Source organism: Homo sapiens, chromosome 2 (assembly GCF_000001405.40).
Source record: "Homo sapiens chromosome 2, GRCh38.p14 Primary Assembly".
Lineage (NCBI taxonomy): Eukaryota > Metazoa > Chordata > Mammalia > Primates > Hominidae > Homo > Homo sapiens.
This window is the reverse complement of record NC_000002.12, coordinates 179,163,811-179,179,275: the sequence shown is the minus strand read 5'-3', so window position 1 is coordinate 179,179,275 and position 15,465 is coordinate 179,163,811. Positions and strand designations below refer to the sequence as shown.

Here is a 15,465-nt window from a genome sequence, read left to right as displayed (position 1 = left end):
CATGCTAACAGTGGCTATAGGAATTTGTTATTAATGACACTTCAGGTCCTACAACAGGCCCTTTATAAAGGGTATAACATGCTTCTAAATTAAATATGTTGTTAAAAGCAGTTTAAGCCATCATTCCACTTACAGGGATGAAGCAAAAAACAAAACTATTTCCTTTCAAGTACCTGAAAGACCACTTGGTCTGGCAATTTTGAAATAGTTATCTTTGGATTCTGTGTATTTTCATTATCCATCTTAGTAAAATGTGAGAATGTGACAGAGTTAAGCGTGTTTCTAAGTACTCTGAAAGATAAATTTAGAGTATTTTATTCCTTTAAGATCACTACAGATGGTATTTGCAAGCTTCATTACTTTCTTAGTCTTAATGTACAGATTAATTTATAGTGTGCTTTGAAATATAAATGTATTGCTTGTATAAAATGTATTTAACAAAACGGTTGTGTAACCTGCATCTCAGGGATACAGATGCCAGTGTTGAGAAAGTATCACATTATGAGAATGGCACATGGCACATTTCTGTTGGTGGGAAGGCCCTCTCCTGGACTGCTGTGTCTTAGCTCTCCTTCCTGAAAAAGGCATTGGTAGAATCCCTGCATTGTTGCCACTACTCCAGACCGCTCAACAGCCAGCTACCCTGCCTAGCTGATCACTCTTGGGCTTGTATCCTCTCCTATGTCATGGTGGTCTTCTTAGATGTTTTGTTGGTGGAGAACTCCAGGAGTCCCCTCATTACTTGAGCCCACAGATAGTCATTGTGTGTCAGGTTTGTTTCTCTCCCCAAGTCTTTTATTTTTTTTTAAATAGAGATGGAGTCTTGCTGGTCTCCCATGCTGGCCTCAAACTCCTTGGCTCAAGCCATCCTCTTGCTCTAGTCTCCCAAAGTGCTGGGATTAGAGACATGAGGCACCACGCCTAGCCCCCTCTGCAAGTCTTTTATTTTCTTTTGCTAACCCACAAGTGATCACTGTATTGGCCTTACCTTTAGTTTTTCCCAAGGAATATTTAGTGGATCCTTTATCTTGTGATGCGCATCCAAAAATAGAGTACTTTTGTTTTATTGAGATATAATTCACATGTCACAAAAATCGTCTTTTTAAAGTAGACAATTCGGTGATTTTTAGTATATTCACAGGTTGTGCATCCATTATGCTATCTAATTTCAGAACATTTTTATCAGCCCAAAATAAACTGTGTTCCCATTGGCACTCACTCTCCATTCTTCCCTCCTAACCCTTGTCAACCACTAATCTGCTTTCTGTCTCTAGATTTGCCTATTCTGGACATTTCATATAAATGGAATCATTCAGTGTGTGTCCTTTTGTGTCTGGCGTGTTTTACTTAGCATAATGTTTTCAAGGTTTAGCCATGTTTTAGCAACTGTCAGTACTTCATTCTTTTTTTATGGCTGAATAATGTCTCATTGTTTGGTTATACTGTGTTTTGTTTTCCTCTTCATTAGTTGGTGGACATTTGGATTGTTTCTACTCTTCAGCTATTATGAATTATTCTGCTGTGAATATTTACATGCAGGTTTTTGTGTGAACATATGCATCAGTTTGCCTTACCTCTTGAATACTCTTTTGTTTACTTTGGAAGCTCAGCTTCAGTGCTTGGCTGTTCCCTCCCACTCTAAACTTTTAGCAATATCATCCTCATTTCTTGTGGTCTTAGTGTTTCTTGGTAGAACAGGGCATGACTTCTCCAAGAGCCTTCTTGGAACTAGCGTGCATGCTTGGAGGGAGAAGAGGAGGACTAGTAAAGTCCCCTGAACTGGTGGTGGATTTAAATCCCAGGAAAAGGTCTGTTTATTTTTCCCTATAATGTATGTAACTGGGAACAGTTTGGATGGGGACAGGTTTCACTACCAAAATCTTGCTCTGATAAGCAAAGCTGTAGTTCCATTTACTGTATTGGAAGGAGAGCAATTGAGATCCTTACATTAAGTTGATAAGTAAACACAATAATAATAACAATGATAATGATAGGTATGTAGTTTTGGCCTTTAGAATGGAGTTTTTCCCTCCAGAAGTTGTTGCGTTTTACTAGGTTAGACTTCTGGGAAGTGTTTAGTTAATAGTTAAATCACTCAATGTAATACAGGAATCCAACACTGAAGATAATATTTTGCTGGTCCTGTGACTGACAATGCAAAAGTGAGAGCATAAGTGGGTTAGACATGGTCTGTCCAAGCTTTTGAATCAGCAAGTTCTACCTCATCTCATTAAATTTCTCCAAAGGAACGCTAAGAAGCCCATTATTGTGGTTTATTAATAACTTACTTTATTTTCTATCTGTTTTGAACTATGACTTCACAAATCTTATACTTCTGGCAGGTAGGTGAGACAAGAAATATATAACACATTTGGCAATTAGTAACTTACTTCACTGTGATCCCATTTTACAGACGAAGAAATTGAGAGACTAGTAGGACTGTTTGAATGTTGCTTTGATGTCTTTACTTTTTAAGACATTGACTTTTATGCTTTTAGAATAATTTTCTTGCCACATTAGTTTGTAAATTGTGAACATTTCCTAAAATGAGAAAAATAAATTGCTTGAGAAAATGAAAGGATACTCTCAAGAATTTTATTTATTGACAATGTAAACTAAACCAAGTGAGATTAATTCTACTCCATATGCGATTAAGTTTTAAACCTTCTTTATTTAGAATTATGAAGAACGAAATCTGGAGCTTGTTTTAATGCTTTGTAATTTTATTTTGTTTCAGTGAGAAGTGTAAGGCTAGAGGATTTACCGTGATTGTGGATGGCAGAAAATCACAGTGGAATGTGGTGAAAACAGTAGTCGTAATGCTACAGGTAATTTTGGTTTTGTCTATCAGGAAATGGTTTTTATTTTACAGCAACAGATCCTGGTGAAAATGGCAAATGCATTTAATTTATTGGACTGTGCCTGGCTTCCTAGCAGTGACTGAGTTGTGAAAATGCACTTATCACTATTGGATTGTTCAAATTCAACTCCTTAGGTTTGAATTTAAGCAGTTAAGTATATCTCACCTCTATTCTAATAGGTTTGTAAATGAAAATAATATGTCATGTTTAAGTAATTTAAGAAAGGAGGCCAGTGATTTTAAATGTGTGAGCATTGAAATGATGAGACTCACCTGGGAGCTCTTGCATGCTCTGGTGTCTGTATCATTCTCCCTCTTGCACCCCATTCTGAAACTATAGGTGGGTGGTAGGATTGGTTAAGTGTAGTTTGAAGAAACTTCTCAGGTGATTCTGGCATGTCTTTCTCTTCTGGTCCCCTATTTCCTACATAAAGCATCAGGATTCACGATGATCTTATTTATTTGTAGCCCAGAAGAAACTTACCAGCTGTGTCCTCAGGAATTTCAGCCCCTCACAAATTAACATTTAATAAACATCTACGATTACAAACTTTTTGAGATCTGATGCCAGTCTTGTGTTTTATGTTTCCTCATGTTCCACACAGAATGTTTATGTGATCCCCTGGCATGTAGTAGGCACCCAGTAGACATTTGTTGATTTATTTTAAGGGTATTGAAGATATGATTTGAAAAGGAAAAGGAAAACATTTGAGTGATGCGGAGGGCAGATTGCTCTCATGCACTTGGCCTTCTGTAGAAGGGCTTCTAGAGAGGTAAAATTTTAATTATCCAATTTAAATGAAAGTCAAGAGGGCCTTCCTCACAGGTACTCTGACTTACATATAGCTCATAATGAAGCAAATACAATGAGAGTAGTTGATGGCAGGCCAGTCTAGGGGAAACATAAGTTGGTAGTAACATGGAATCATAAGAATTCACTTAAGTGGATATCAGTGATATTGAAAGAAAGATCAAGAATTTTAAATGAATTCAACAAATAAGGTAGCTACTTTAGGGTTCTGTGGAAAGGCATATAATTTTAAAATTTAAATGATAATTAAGGAGAATGGTTTTTAACGTTTTATCATTTATTTAGGTTAATTGGGAGAAAGGGATTCAAGGGATAGGAACAAAGTGGTAATTTTAGGTTTTAGTTCTAGTTTTAGTGCTTATTATGTTTTTGGTACTGTGCTAAGCTTGCTATATAAATTTATCTCATTTAATTTTGGCCTCACAACCTTACAGAGGTCAACGAGGCTCAAGGATTTTAAATAACTTAAAATTGGAACTTAGTATAGTCTAAGTAAGCCCCAGGCCTTGACTTTATCCATTTTAAAATGTGTATTTACCAGTGGCATGTGTCTGCTGAGGTGGTCTCTGAATTTTCTACCCATTGCCTCATTCTTCTTAAATGTTTGGCTTAAACTTTTCATCATGAGAATCCCCCCATCCCACCTTTTTTTTTTTTTTTTTATATCAGGGACTCACTTTGTCACTCAGCCTGGAGTGCAGTTGCATGGCTTACTGAAGCCTCCAGCTCCTGGGCTCAGGCAGTCCTCCTGCCTCAGCCACCTGAGTAGTTGGGACTGGAGGCGAGCGCCACCACACCTGGCTACTTTTTTTATTTTGTAGAGACTATATTGCTCCAGCTGGTCTCAAACTCCTGAGCTCAGGTGATCCTTCTGCTTCAGCCTCCCAAATCGCTGAGATTACAGGCTAGAATCACTCTTTGGGTTAGAAAGGACATAGCCTCCGCAGGATCAGTTTAAGGGAGCACAAATTGGTGTCCTAAAATAACTTTTTCTTTGAAAAAAAAGTGCTTCCAGCACTTTTATATTTCAAGCCTTGAGAATTAACTCTTCTCTGTGAAAGTTGTTAAAATAACTATTAGGTAAGAAATCCATTAATTATGACCTTGTGTTCTTCCTTTCATCCTGTCATTTCAACTGTGTCACAGATGAGCTGTTTGGGACTTGCTGTTTGAACTGGACTTTGATCAGTGGCAGTTTTGAAGAACAATCAATGGATGATTTAATCCCCTCTTGCGATTTCTTTTCTGATAGGTATTTTAACAGCTTTTGGATTTATTAATAGTTAACATTTTCAGAAGTTGCAATGGCCTTTTTACTTCTAGTCAAACAGTTTCTACATATGAAGTCATTCATTGCTTTCATCTCCGAAGGTACTGGGACCAGCTGTTTGGGACCCCACAGTGCCTATAACTGGTATTCTCTAAAATGAGGGGTGTGGTTTCTCTTCTTTCTCACAGCTTTCATATTCAATGATTTTGAAATAATAATCTTCCACAAGGCAATATATGAATAAAGCTCAATTTTATCTTAAATTTTCCAGCCCCTCTGGTAAAAGTTTTGATATCATTGAATTTATTTTACTTACCTTAGTCACAATCCAGTTGTTGCAGAGGATGCTAGATTTATGATGTGTGCATGTTTACCTCCAAAGGTTTTCCATTTTTCCCTGAATAGTAATAATAGTAATTATTATTATAATTATTCAGTGCTGCAATTTATGGTCTAGAACAGAGGTTGGGCCCTTGAATTTATAAAGTTTTATTGGAGTTCAGCCATTCCCATTCATTTATATATTGTGTGGTGTGTGGCTGCTTTTATACTATCCTGACAGAACCGAGTGGTAGCAATAGAGACATTATGGCCTGCAAAGCTTGGAATAACTTATTATCTGGACCTTTCGGAAAGAATGTATTGAACCCAGGTTCAGAGCATACGAAGTAGTGTAGTAGAACTTTAGAGTCAGACAGAGGTGGTTTCTATTCAGCTCAATGACTTTTTAACTCTGTTATCTTAGACAAGTGACTTTGTTTCTCTGAAGCTCAAATTACTCTCCTGTAAAATTAAGAGAATGAGATCTACTTAGTAATGAGGATTCATTTATTTAACAAATATTTATAGCATGTGTTCTATTATATATGTGAGATATTTGTCATAAACACTGGAAATATAGGGGTGACAAGATAGATAAGGTACCTGCCATTGGGAAGGTTTTATTATCTTTATTATTTTATATTCTACTTGAAGAGTTAGACAATAAGCAGTTAAGCAAACGTAACAGCCCATGGTGATAAATGCTATGAAGAAAAATACAGCAGTGAAAGAGACTGAGTCAGATGATGCCACTTTAGGTAGGGTAGACAGGGAAGGCCTCTCTGAAGAGGGAATATTTGAATAGAATCTTAAATAAACTGAGGGAGCACTCCTAGGTATAAGGCAAAGGGCATTCCAGATAGAGGAAATAGCATGGACAAAGACCTGAAGTGGAACAGACTTTTCATATTGCAGGAGCAGCGAGCTGTTGTGGAGGAGTGAGCTAGCAGGGGAAGGTGTAAGATGAGATCTGAGAGGCCAACAGGGGCCTGAGCTTGAAGGGCCTTGTAGGTCTTGGTAAGAGATTTGAATTTCATTCAGAGTGCAAGAGAAAGTCAAGCAAGGAGCCTTGTAATGATGATATTTCAGAAAGCTGGATAGTTTGGCGTTGTTAACAATGCAGGCGGTAGAACTTGTTGGATTTAAGATGCATTTTAAAGTTAGACTCTATAGGACTTGATAAAATATATGTGAAATATTTATTAATTCCATAAATGTTCATTTCAGTTCATTAGGTAGTATAAGTAACCATATCAAGTAAATGTGAAATTGTATTCGTCAAAGATTAGCTTTTTGTCCTCTTCTTCAAGTTAATAATCATGTAAAATCTTGGTCTCATTGTATAATGACTGATAAAAAACTTATTTTAGTGAGAAAATTGATTTTACGTCTTTTGAAGAAATTCTCCAAGATGATTGTGTTAGAAAAAATTTTTCATACTGTAGAAAAATCAAATTTAATAATTTCCCAACTAAAAATTAACTCTTACAGTTTAAGCTAAACATATTCCTAGTACAGAGATTCAGTAAAACAAAAAGTAATTCACATGTACAATTTATGCTGCATTTTTTATTTGAAGTATTTTCTGAATCACCTTGTCTTTCAAGTTCTTCTTTATTGCCATGTATGTTTTGAAGTCTAGAGAATTTCTTCTTTATTATTTTAATTCTTCTCCAAAAATCTCTTATGTAGCATAATCTTGACTGTCTGGTAATTTATAAATTTAGTAAATTATTCATTTTACATGTGTAATTTGTAATTATTTTTCTGTATTTTATAGAATGTTGTTCCAGCTGAGGTGTCCCTTGTTTGTGTGGTAAAGCCAGATGAATTCTGGGATAAGAAAGTAACGCATTTTTGTTTTTGGAAGGAGAAGGATAGACTTGGCTTTGAGGTAAATGTAATCTCTTTTTTTAAAGTCCATTATATCTTTAAAAATAGTATTTTACTGAAATTATTTTTGACCGTTCAGCATTGGTTACTAAGCAGTGCTTAAGGAATGCTTAATTAGTGCCTAAGTAATAATTAGTATATGGTCAGCATTTGGATACTTGCTGAATGAAGTATGATATTTTGTTAAAGATCATGAAAGCTTTCTTGTTTTCCATTTTCAATTGTATCATTCTTTGTTAACTTCTTTGAATAAGTAGAACCTTTGTATTTAAATTTTTTTATTGCATTATGGAGAGGAAATTTAACAAATACTAGGAAATCCTGGACATTTTGGAGTTGAAATTATAGTCTATTTTTTGTGACATGTCATAATTATTTTTTAGTATCTGGCCAGTTTTAATACATGAACACAGTTATCCATTCTTTCCTACTGACTTTTTATTTCTCTCTTTTACTTTCCTTGTGTGATAGTGCATCTTACTGTAGGTTAGAAAAAAGCACTATGATGGAATGTAAATCTAAGCAGTTTGTCATATTCTTTCTTCCACACCTGTTAATTCTCAACTTCCCAGTAGGAGAGTTGATAAATAACAGACTTTACATTGTCTAAATAAAGTGTGGGAACTTTGAAGAATACAAAGACTAACTCCAACCTGGTATAATATAGGCCCTTGGAATGCTTACAGTCAGATAATAAAGATTCATTTTGGAACTTGCCATGCTATACACTCATTTTTATTTTTACCGAGGTCAATATCAGTGTATTTTTGGTATGGAGAAAAGGTTGTTAATGTATATTGGATAGAAAGATTTGAGAAAACTTAGTTTATTCTTAAAGGAGATGGCTTGAAATTTCTTAAAAATACATGGTTTTATTCTTTACTTAAAAAAATTAAGCTATAATTTACGTGCAGTGAAATTAATTCATTTTAGTGTGTAGTTCTGAGAGTTCTGACAAAACATATAAAACCACAATCAAGAAATCAGGAAGTGTCTCCTCACCCCCAGAATTCCCCTATATGCTCCTATAGTTAACTTCTCCATTTCTAGCCCCTGACTGGTGGTAGGAAAACTGTTTCTGTACTCACAAGCCCCTTCTCAGGTTTAGTAATTTGGTATATTGATTCATAGAATTCAGGGAATCACTTTACTAACATTTACTGGCTTTATATAAAGAATATAGATGAACAACCCAGATGAAGTGATACACAAAGTGCAAGGTCTAGAATGATCCAGAGCGCAGGAGCTTCGAACCCTAGGGAGTTGGGGTGCACCACCCTCATGGCCTGTGTACATGTTTATCAACCCAGAAACTCTCCAAATCATTGGCCATTAGTGATTAACTAACTCAGTCTCCAGCCTCTCTCCCTTCCCTGGAGGGAGAGGAGTGGCCATGAAAGTTTCAACTCTCTAATTATGCCTTGGTCTTTTTGGTGACAAGCCTTCATCTTGAATCTGTTTAGAGGCCCACAGCCACCACTCATCTTACTAACATCCAAAAAAACACTTATCACTCCAGAAATGCCAAGGATCTTGTAACTCTTGTGTCGATAACTGGGGACTGAGACCAAATACTGTAATAAAGGATGCTCCTGTCACCTAGGAATTACAAGGGTTTCAGGAGTTCTGTGCCAGGAACCGGGGACAAAGAGCAAATGCATATTTCTTATATCACAGTATCACAGATGGTATCAGTTTAAATCTCTTACCTATTTTTTAAAAAAAATAAGGTCTTTTTTGTTACTGGATTTTGAGAGTTTTTTATGTATTTTGTATAGAAGTCATTTATGAGACACATAATTTACAAATATTACCTCCTAGTCTATTGTTTGCCTTGTCATTCTCTTAACAGTTTTCAAGAAATTTTTTTAACTATGATGAAGTCCTCTTTTTCAGTTTTTTTTTTTTTTGCTTTCTGATTTCACAGGTGGAGAAACAGTTTTCTTTTATTAATCAGACTTTTGTTGTCATAATCTGAGAAATCTTTGCCTTACTCAAGGTCACAAAGATTGTCCTTGATATTTTCTTCTAAAAGTTGTATAGTTTTAGTCATTAAATTTAGATCTGTGATCTATTTTGAGTTAATGTTTGTGAGCTATGGTCAAGAATATGTATTTTATGACTTCAGGTTTTTTTTTTTTTTTTTGAGATGGAGTTTCGCTTTTGTTACCCAGGCTGGAGTGCAGTGGTGCAACCTCGGCTCACTGCAACCTCCGCCTCCCAGGTTCAAGAGATTCTCCTGCCTGAGCCTCCCACGTAGCTGAGATTACAGGCATGCACCACCACACCCAGCTAATTTTGCATTTTTAGTAGAGACGGGGTTTCTCTACGTTAGTCATGCTGGTCTCAAACCTCAGGTGATCTGCCCACCTCGGCCTCCCAAAGTGCTGGGATTACAGGCATGAGGCACCGTGCCCGGCTGACTTCAGTCATTTTAAGTTTAAGGTTTGGTTTGTGACACACTATGTGTTCTATCTTGGTGATTCCCAGAATAAGTATTCTGTTGTTGGATGGAGTGTTCTGTAACTGTCAAGATGATTCTTAATGTTTTTCAGGTCTTCTCTATCCATGGTAATGTTGTGTCTGCCTGTTTTTTTAATAACTGAAAGAGGAATATTGCAACCTCCAACTGTTATATGTGGAACTATTTCTATTTTATTTCTGTCAGTTTTTGCTTCATGTGTTCTGAAGCTCTATTGTTTATTGCATAAAGATTTAGGATAGCTATGTCTTCTTGGTGAGTAGGGCCCAATTTATCATTTTTGAATGTTTTTATTCCTGATACTATATCTGGCTCTGAAATGTACATTGTCTGATATTAATATAACTACTCCAGCATTCTGTTGATTAGTGTTAGTGTGTTGTATCTTTTCCATTCTTTTACTTTTAACTTCTTTATATTTAAAATGAATTTTTTGTAGACACCATATAGTTGGATCTTGCTTTCATATCCAGTTTAACAATCTCTGTCTTTTCATGGGTAAGACTATTTATATTTAATGCAATTATTGATATAGTTTATAAAATCTACCATCTTGCTAGATTTTATGGGGTTTTTTGTTCTTTTTTGCCTTTGGACTAAGTATTTTTTATAATTACACCTCACTCCGTTATTGGCTTGTAATTTATGTCTCTTAATTATTTTAATGGTTACCTTACTGTTTACTGTATACGTCTTTAATAATCAGTCTAACCTTCAATTATACCACTTCACATGAAATAGAAGGACCTTAAAACAGTATATCTCCAATACTTCCATCCCATTATTGTTATGCATTTCACTTTTACTGTGCTATAAACAAACACTACATTGCTGCATTTTTTTGCTACAGATAATCTGTTTTCTTTTACAGCAATTAAAAATTTTAAATTAATTTCATATTTACTTTCATTTATGCCATTTCTGGCATTCTTCGTTTCTTTTTGGAGATTCATCTTTTTGTCTGGTGTTACATTCCTTCTGCCTAAAGTACTTCTTTTAATGTATCTTGCAGTGCAGGTGTGTTGGCATTGAATTGTCTCATTTTTTGTTTGCCTAAAGAAAATCTGTATGTCTATTTTAGTTTTGAAAATTATTTTCAAGTTTTTTTTTTTGTCTTTCAGCACTTTAATCATGCCGTTGACCTGTGAACAATGCAGGGGTTAGGGCCAGCAACCTCCTGTGCAGTTGAAAATTTGTGTCTAACTTACTTTTGACTTTCTAAGAACTTAAATGCTAATAGCCTACTATTGACCAAAAGCCTTACTAATTACATAAACAGTCAATTAACACAAATTTTGTATATGTATTATACATTGTATTCTTACAATAAAATAAGCTAGAGAAAAAATGTTAAGAAAATAATAAGGAAGAGAAAATATATTTACTATTTATTAAGTAGAAGTGGATCATCATAAAGGTCTCCATTCTCATTGTCTTGAGGCTGAGGAGGAAGAGGAAGTGGAGGGGTTGGTCTTACTGTCTCAGGGGTAGCAGAGGCAGAAGAAAACTCCCTTATAAGTGGACCTGTGCAATTCAGTCCTGAGTTGTTCAAGGGTCAACTGTATTTAGAAGTGCTTTCTCACCGGGTGCGGTGGCTCTTGAAATCCCAGCACTTTGGGAGGCCAAGGCAGTGGATCACCTGAGGGTCAGGAGTTTGAGACTGGTCTGACCAATATGGTGAAACCCCGTGTCTACTAAAAATACATAAATTAGCCGGGCATGGTGGCATGTGCCTGTAGTCCCAGCTACTCGGGAGGCTGAGACAGGAGAATTGCTTGAACCCAGGAGGCCCAGGTTGCAGTGAGCCGAGATCATGCCACTGCACTCCAGCCTGGGCAACAGAGTGAGACCCTGCCTCAAAAAAGAAAAAAAAGTAAAAATTAAATAAAATTAAAAGTGCTGTCTCATTGCCTTTGCCTTCTCATTGTAATGGTCACTGACAAGAAGGCCGCTGTTATTTATATCTTTGGTCCTCTGTGTATGTTATTTGCCTTTTTTTCCCCCTTCAGGCACTTTCAAGATTTTTCATTTTGATTTTGGTTTTTAGCAGTTTTATTTTGCTGTATCTCTGTGTGTTCTATTTGGTATTTATTCCACTTAGTGTTCTCTGTACTTCTTAGATACCTGGTTTGATGTCTGTCATCAATTTTGGAAAATGCTTATACATTCTCTTTTCAAATATTTTATCTGCCCTTTTTCTGTTTCCTCTGGAACTCCATTTGGATGTATGATAAAATATTTGAAATTTTCTCACCATTTTCTTTGGTCTCCTGTTTTATTTTTATCCCTGTGTCTTTCTCTTTGTGTTTCAGTTTAGGTATTTTCTCTTGATCCATTTTCAAGTTCACTCTTTGTTTCCTTGGTTGTGTTAAGTTTGTTGATGAGACCATTGAAAATTACCATGCTTTTGATTTGTAGCATTTCTATTTGACTTTTCTTTAGAGTTTCTATCTCTTTGCTGAAATTCCTCGTCTGTCCTTGCATGTTATTTTTCATTCTCTATAGCATCAGTATCTTAAATTTCCTATCTGATAGTCCCTATATCTGCATCTGTCTTACTCCACTTATGTTGTTTGCTTTGTTTCTTGACAGTGGGTCATTTTCCTTCCTTTTTTGTGTGTGCCTTGTTATTTTTTATTGAATGTTAGACATCTTGTTTAGGACAGTAAAGACTGAGGTGTAGGTAGTATTTGTGCCTGCACATGGGCTCATCTTGCCCTTTTCCTAGGCTTTTGATAGCATAAGAGAAGGGTTGAGTTCTAACCAGGAATTGAGTTGGCTTTGGATTTTGTTGTTGCTATTATTTTCCTCAGTGCACCACAGGCTTCTCATTTCTCTAGAGTTACTTTGTGTTGAAGATGGGGGCTGGTTTGCCAGAGAATTTTGCTTTTTCATTATTTGTTCTACCCTCTGCTCTAGGTCTTTCCTTTGTACCTGCGCCTCAGAGAAAGTCTTTCTGTATACAGTTGACTCTCAGCAATAGGCTGCTGTTCCTTGTTATTCAGTATTTGTTAGAGAGGCATTCTCTGTTGTTCTTATTCAGCCTCAATCTTAGGCAGGCTCTGTGTCCCTCAGCCTAGTGGGTAATGTTGCCCCTCCCCCAGTTTTGGGAACCTATGATAGTTCGGGTTTATAATATATTCCTGGGTCTACTCCCTCCCCTGTGATAGTCTTTTCTTTTCCCTTCTTCCACCTGTGGTGGGACTTCAGTTGTCCTCTAAGGTCAGCAGGATTTTCAGTCCTTTCCGCAGCACTCTAAGATTTTTTTTTTCATAGGAGAGATAGCATTGAAGATTTTGGGCTGTGCTTCATGCCTTTCCATTAGTGGCTGCTCTTCCCCTCACCCAGGCTTGTGCTCCAAGAGAGGCTTTTTCAAATCTCTTATTCCTCTTATTTCCAGTCTTTCTCATGACTCCTGCAGAGATCTTTCCTCTAGAGATTCAGCCTCCAAGTGAGTATGAATTCTTGTGTCTATACTTCCCATGGGTTCTGTACTTTCACACTAGCCCACATTTGGCCTTAGTGATTCATTAAAAATTTTAACCTAAATTCCTACCTGGCTGGCATCAGGTCTGGCATTTTTCCCAGGTAAGCAAGTACTCCAGTTCCATCTTCTTGAAGATGCAGATCTTTCCTTAGATTCCAGGTTAATTGGTTTCCTTGTGAATTTAGCTCTCCAGTGGCTTCAGAAAAGTTGTGGTTTTTCAGATTAACTTGCATTTTTTTTGGTCATTGTTATGTAAGAGTTGGAGCCATGCTCTTTCCAACTTTCTACATCCTAAGTAGATGCCAGAATTTTTTCCCACTTTTCTCTTCAACTTTTGTCATTGGTAGACTTGACTATTATGTAGACTTTGTGGAAGGATGTGTGCCAGTAATGTAAGGGAAGATGACCAAGGCTGCTGGATCACATTAGGAAGGGTGTTGCCCTGGTAGTTGATTGGAAAACTATGCCCCAACAAAAAGAGACAAAAGCATAGTGAGGGAAGAAAGTAAAAGCTGAAGCCAGGAGGTCTGAATGTTGCTTCAAGAGTCAGGAGCATGGTGAGTGAAGACTTCAGCCAGCTAGTAAGGTCTGCAGTTCATGGCCTGGGGCATGCAGGGAATGTTGCTCTGAGACAATGCAAAGTGAACCAGGGGTAAATAGCCGAAACTAAAGCTGTGAACACCCGGTACCACGGAAGATCCCTTTTATGAGGCACCTGTCACATCCTGCTTAAACTAAATAGGCATCTGCTCAGAGATGCTCTGGTAGTTGGGTCTTATGTTATAGAAATTAATAGTGATTAAATACCCTGCATCTTGGAGGATAAAATAGAAGACAGAATTTCTGTCTACCTTGATGTGGTGTCATAGATTGTTGTTTTAAAACAGAAGCATTAAAACTTCTTATATCAATATGTTTTCTTAGACATTGAAGAGATTCAGCTAGGATATTTTCTCAAGAAAGCGCTAGGCACTTATTAAAAGCCCAATTTCCTAATGAGTTGAGAGTAATTTCAAATGCTGGTTAATACGCTGCCAGGCAAACCCGGCTTTAAGGGGGCAGTTCAACACTATCCATTAAATGAGACTTAGAGCTCTATATAATTAAATCCAACATAGATGCTCGTTTAATTGCAAATTATTTTTCTTGGTATTATTTTGGATAATTTAGGCTGTTGTAATTAAGCCTGTGTTTGTAAATATTTAAAAAAATATTTTAAAAACTTCGTTAAGAGTAGTGGTGATCCTGTAAGCATAAATGTATGTTTTACCTTAAAATTAAATTATCTGCAACAAAGATTTATTACCAGCTGTCCACAATGCTCATCAAGTATACACCCAGTGGTCATTTTGGTGACACCTTGTTCCCACATGATTTCTTGTTTTCTTGCCCATGATACTTTCTAAATTTTTTCTTCTAGGTAACCTCCTTACTATTCACTCCTCCAATGTTTTTCATCAGGAATTGAATATTCATCTCTCATTGCTAACCTTAATATTTCTCTGTATATCCTTCCTATCTCTGACATAGATACCTACCTGTTCATTTTCCTTTTTAGCAACTCAGATATTATATTCAAGTACTTCGTATCCTTCAGCAGCATTGTACCTGGTGACTATGATAGGTTTTGCTGGTTTGATGATAGTGTCTATATTCTGTCTAATGACAAGATAAAATTGAGGTCATACTAGCATTAATCTTGTCCTCAAATGGAGAGATTAATTATCAAAGGGATCTCCACTCTCCTTTTTTGTCACTCATTAAAGTGTTGTTTATTTAATGTTAACCAGCACCCATTCTAAATTGCTTTATTCTCTTACCTGTTAATACTGGATCTAATCATGTTCTTTTTTGAGACTATACATAATTGTAGGATCCAGGACCAAAGACTTCCATGATGCTCTTCTTTCAAGAACACCCCTGGCTCCATTTATTCTGATTCTTTCCAGTTTTTATAGAAACCTATTTTCCTTGAGTGAGAAAAATATTCTTCAACAAACAGGTACAAGCAGACATACACATCAAAATAGTATGTGTATGAACATATATACACACATGAATCTTTACTAAGTGCAGAAATACATACAAAGGCAGATTTTCATTCTGGATCTTGCACGCACATTCTTAGCAATAGTGAAATAATAATAAACCATCTCAGTGCCTACAAAATGCAAGTTTCAGTGGTAGGTTTTTGGGGAATGTTTTACTAGGAAAGGATAAGTATTATAGTTACAGAAGGAATAATGAGAGTAAAAGAGAAACAAGTTTTTAATCTTTCTGCAAGTTAAAATTTGAGATTAAAGAAAACCTGCACAAATGTTTTATTAAAGACCATATGGTA

The 15,465-nt window shown here is 36.3% G+C and overlaps 1 protein-coding gene across 6 annotated transcripts in view, besides 3 other annotated features; it reads left to right on the top strand.

The window, feature by feature from the left end:
• The window catches only part of SESTD1 (SEC14 and spectrin domain containing 1), a 163,155-nt gene that overhangs the window by 85,557 nt on the left and 62,133 nt on the right, over positions 1-15,465 (top strand). For 5 of the 6 annotated variants that reach the window (XR_007084411.1, NM_178123.5, XM_047446274.1 and 2 more), the window contains 2 exons: positions 2,738-2,828; positions 7,043-7,156. Coding sequence is in view for 4 of the 6 variants with exons in the window: in NM_178123.5 (NP_835224.3) it covers positions 2,738-2,828; positions 7,043-7,156 (205 nt within the window). In the remaining 2 variants the exon portion in view is untranslated. Of the gene's footprint in view, positions 1-2,737; positions 2,829-4,817; positions 4,924-7,042; positions 7,157-15,465 lie in introns of all 6 variants that reach the window. The other variant, XM_047446275.1, reaches the window with a different exon arrangement.
• Positions 3,792-3,961: an enhancer, noted in NCBI's record as "experimental_56724 CRE fragment used in MPRA reporter constructs". NCBI's record gives its function as "activates a minimal promoter by MPRAs in K562 erythroleukemia cells, with activity observed for both the introgressed and non-introgressed 2:180040127 variant alleles {active_cell/tissue: K562}" and the evidence as "EXISTENCE:reporter gene assay evidence [ECO:0000049][PMID:34662402]".
• Positions 13,433-13,602: an enhancer, noted in NCBI's record as "experimental_56720 CRE fragment used in MPRA reporter constructs". NCBI's record gives its function as "activates a minimal promoter by MPRAs in K562 erythroleukemia cells, with activity observed for both the introgressed and non-introgressed 2:180030486 variant alleles {active_cell/tissue: K562}" and the evidence as "EXISTENCE:reporter gene assay evidence [ECO:0000049][PMID:34662402]".
• Positions 14,064-14,233: an enhancer, noted in NCBI's record as "experimental_56719 CRE fragment used in MPRA reporter constructs". NCBI's record gives its function as "activates a minimal promoter by MPRAs in K562 erythroleukemia cells, with activity observed for both the introgressed and non-introgressed 2:180029855 variant alleles {active_cell/tissue: K562}" and the evidence as "EXISTENCE:reporter gene assay evidence [ECO:0000049][PMID:34662402]".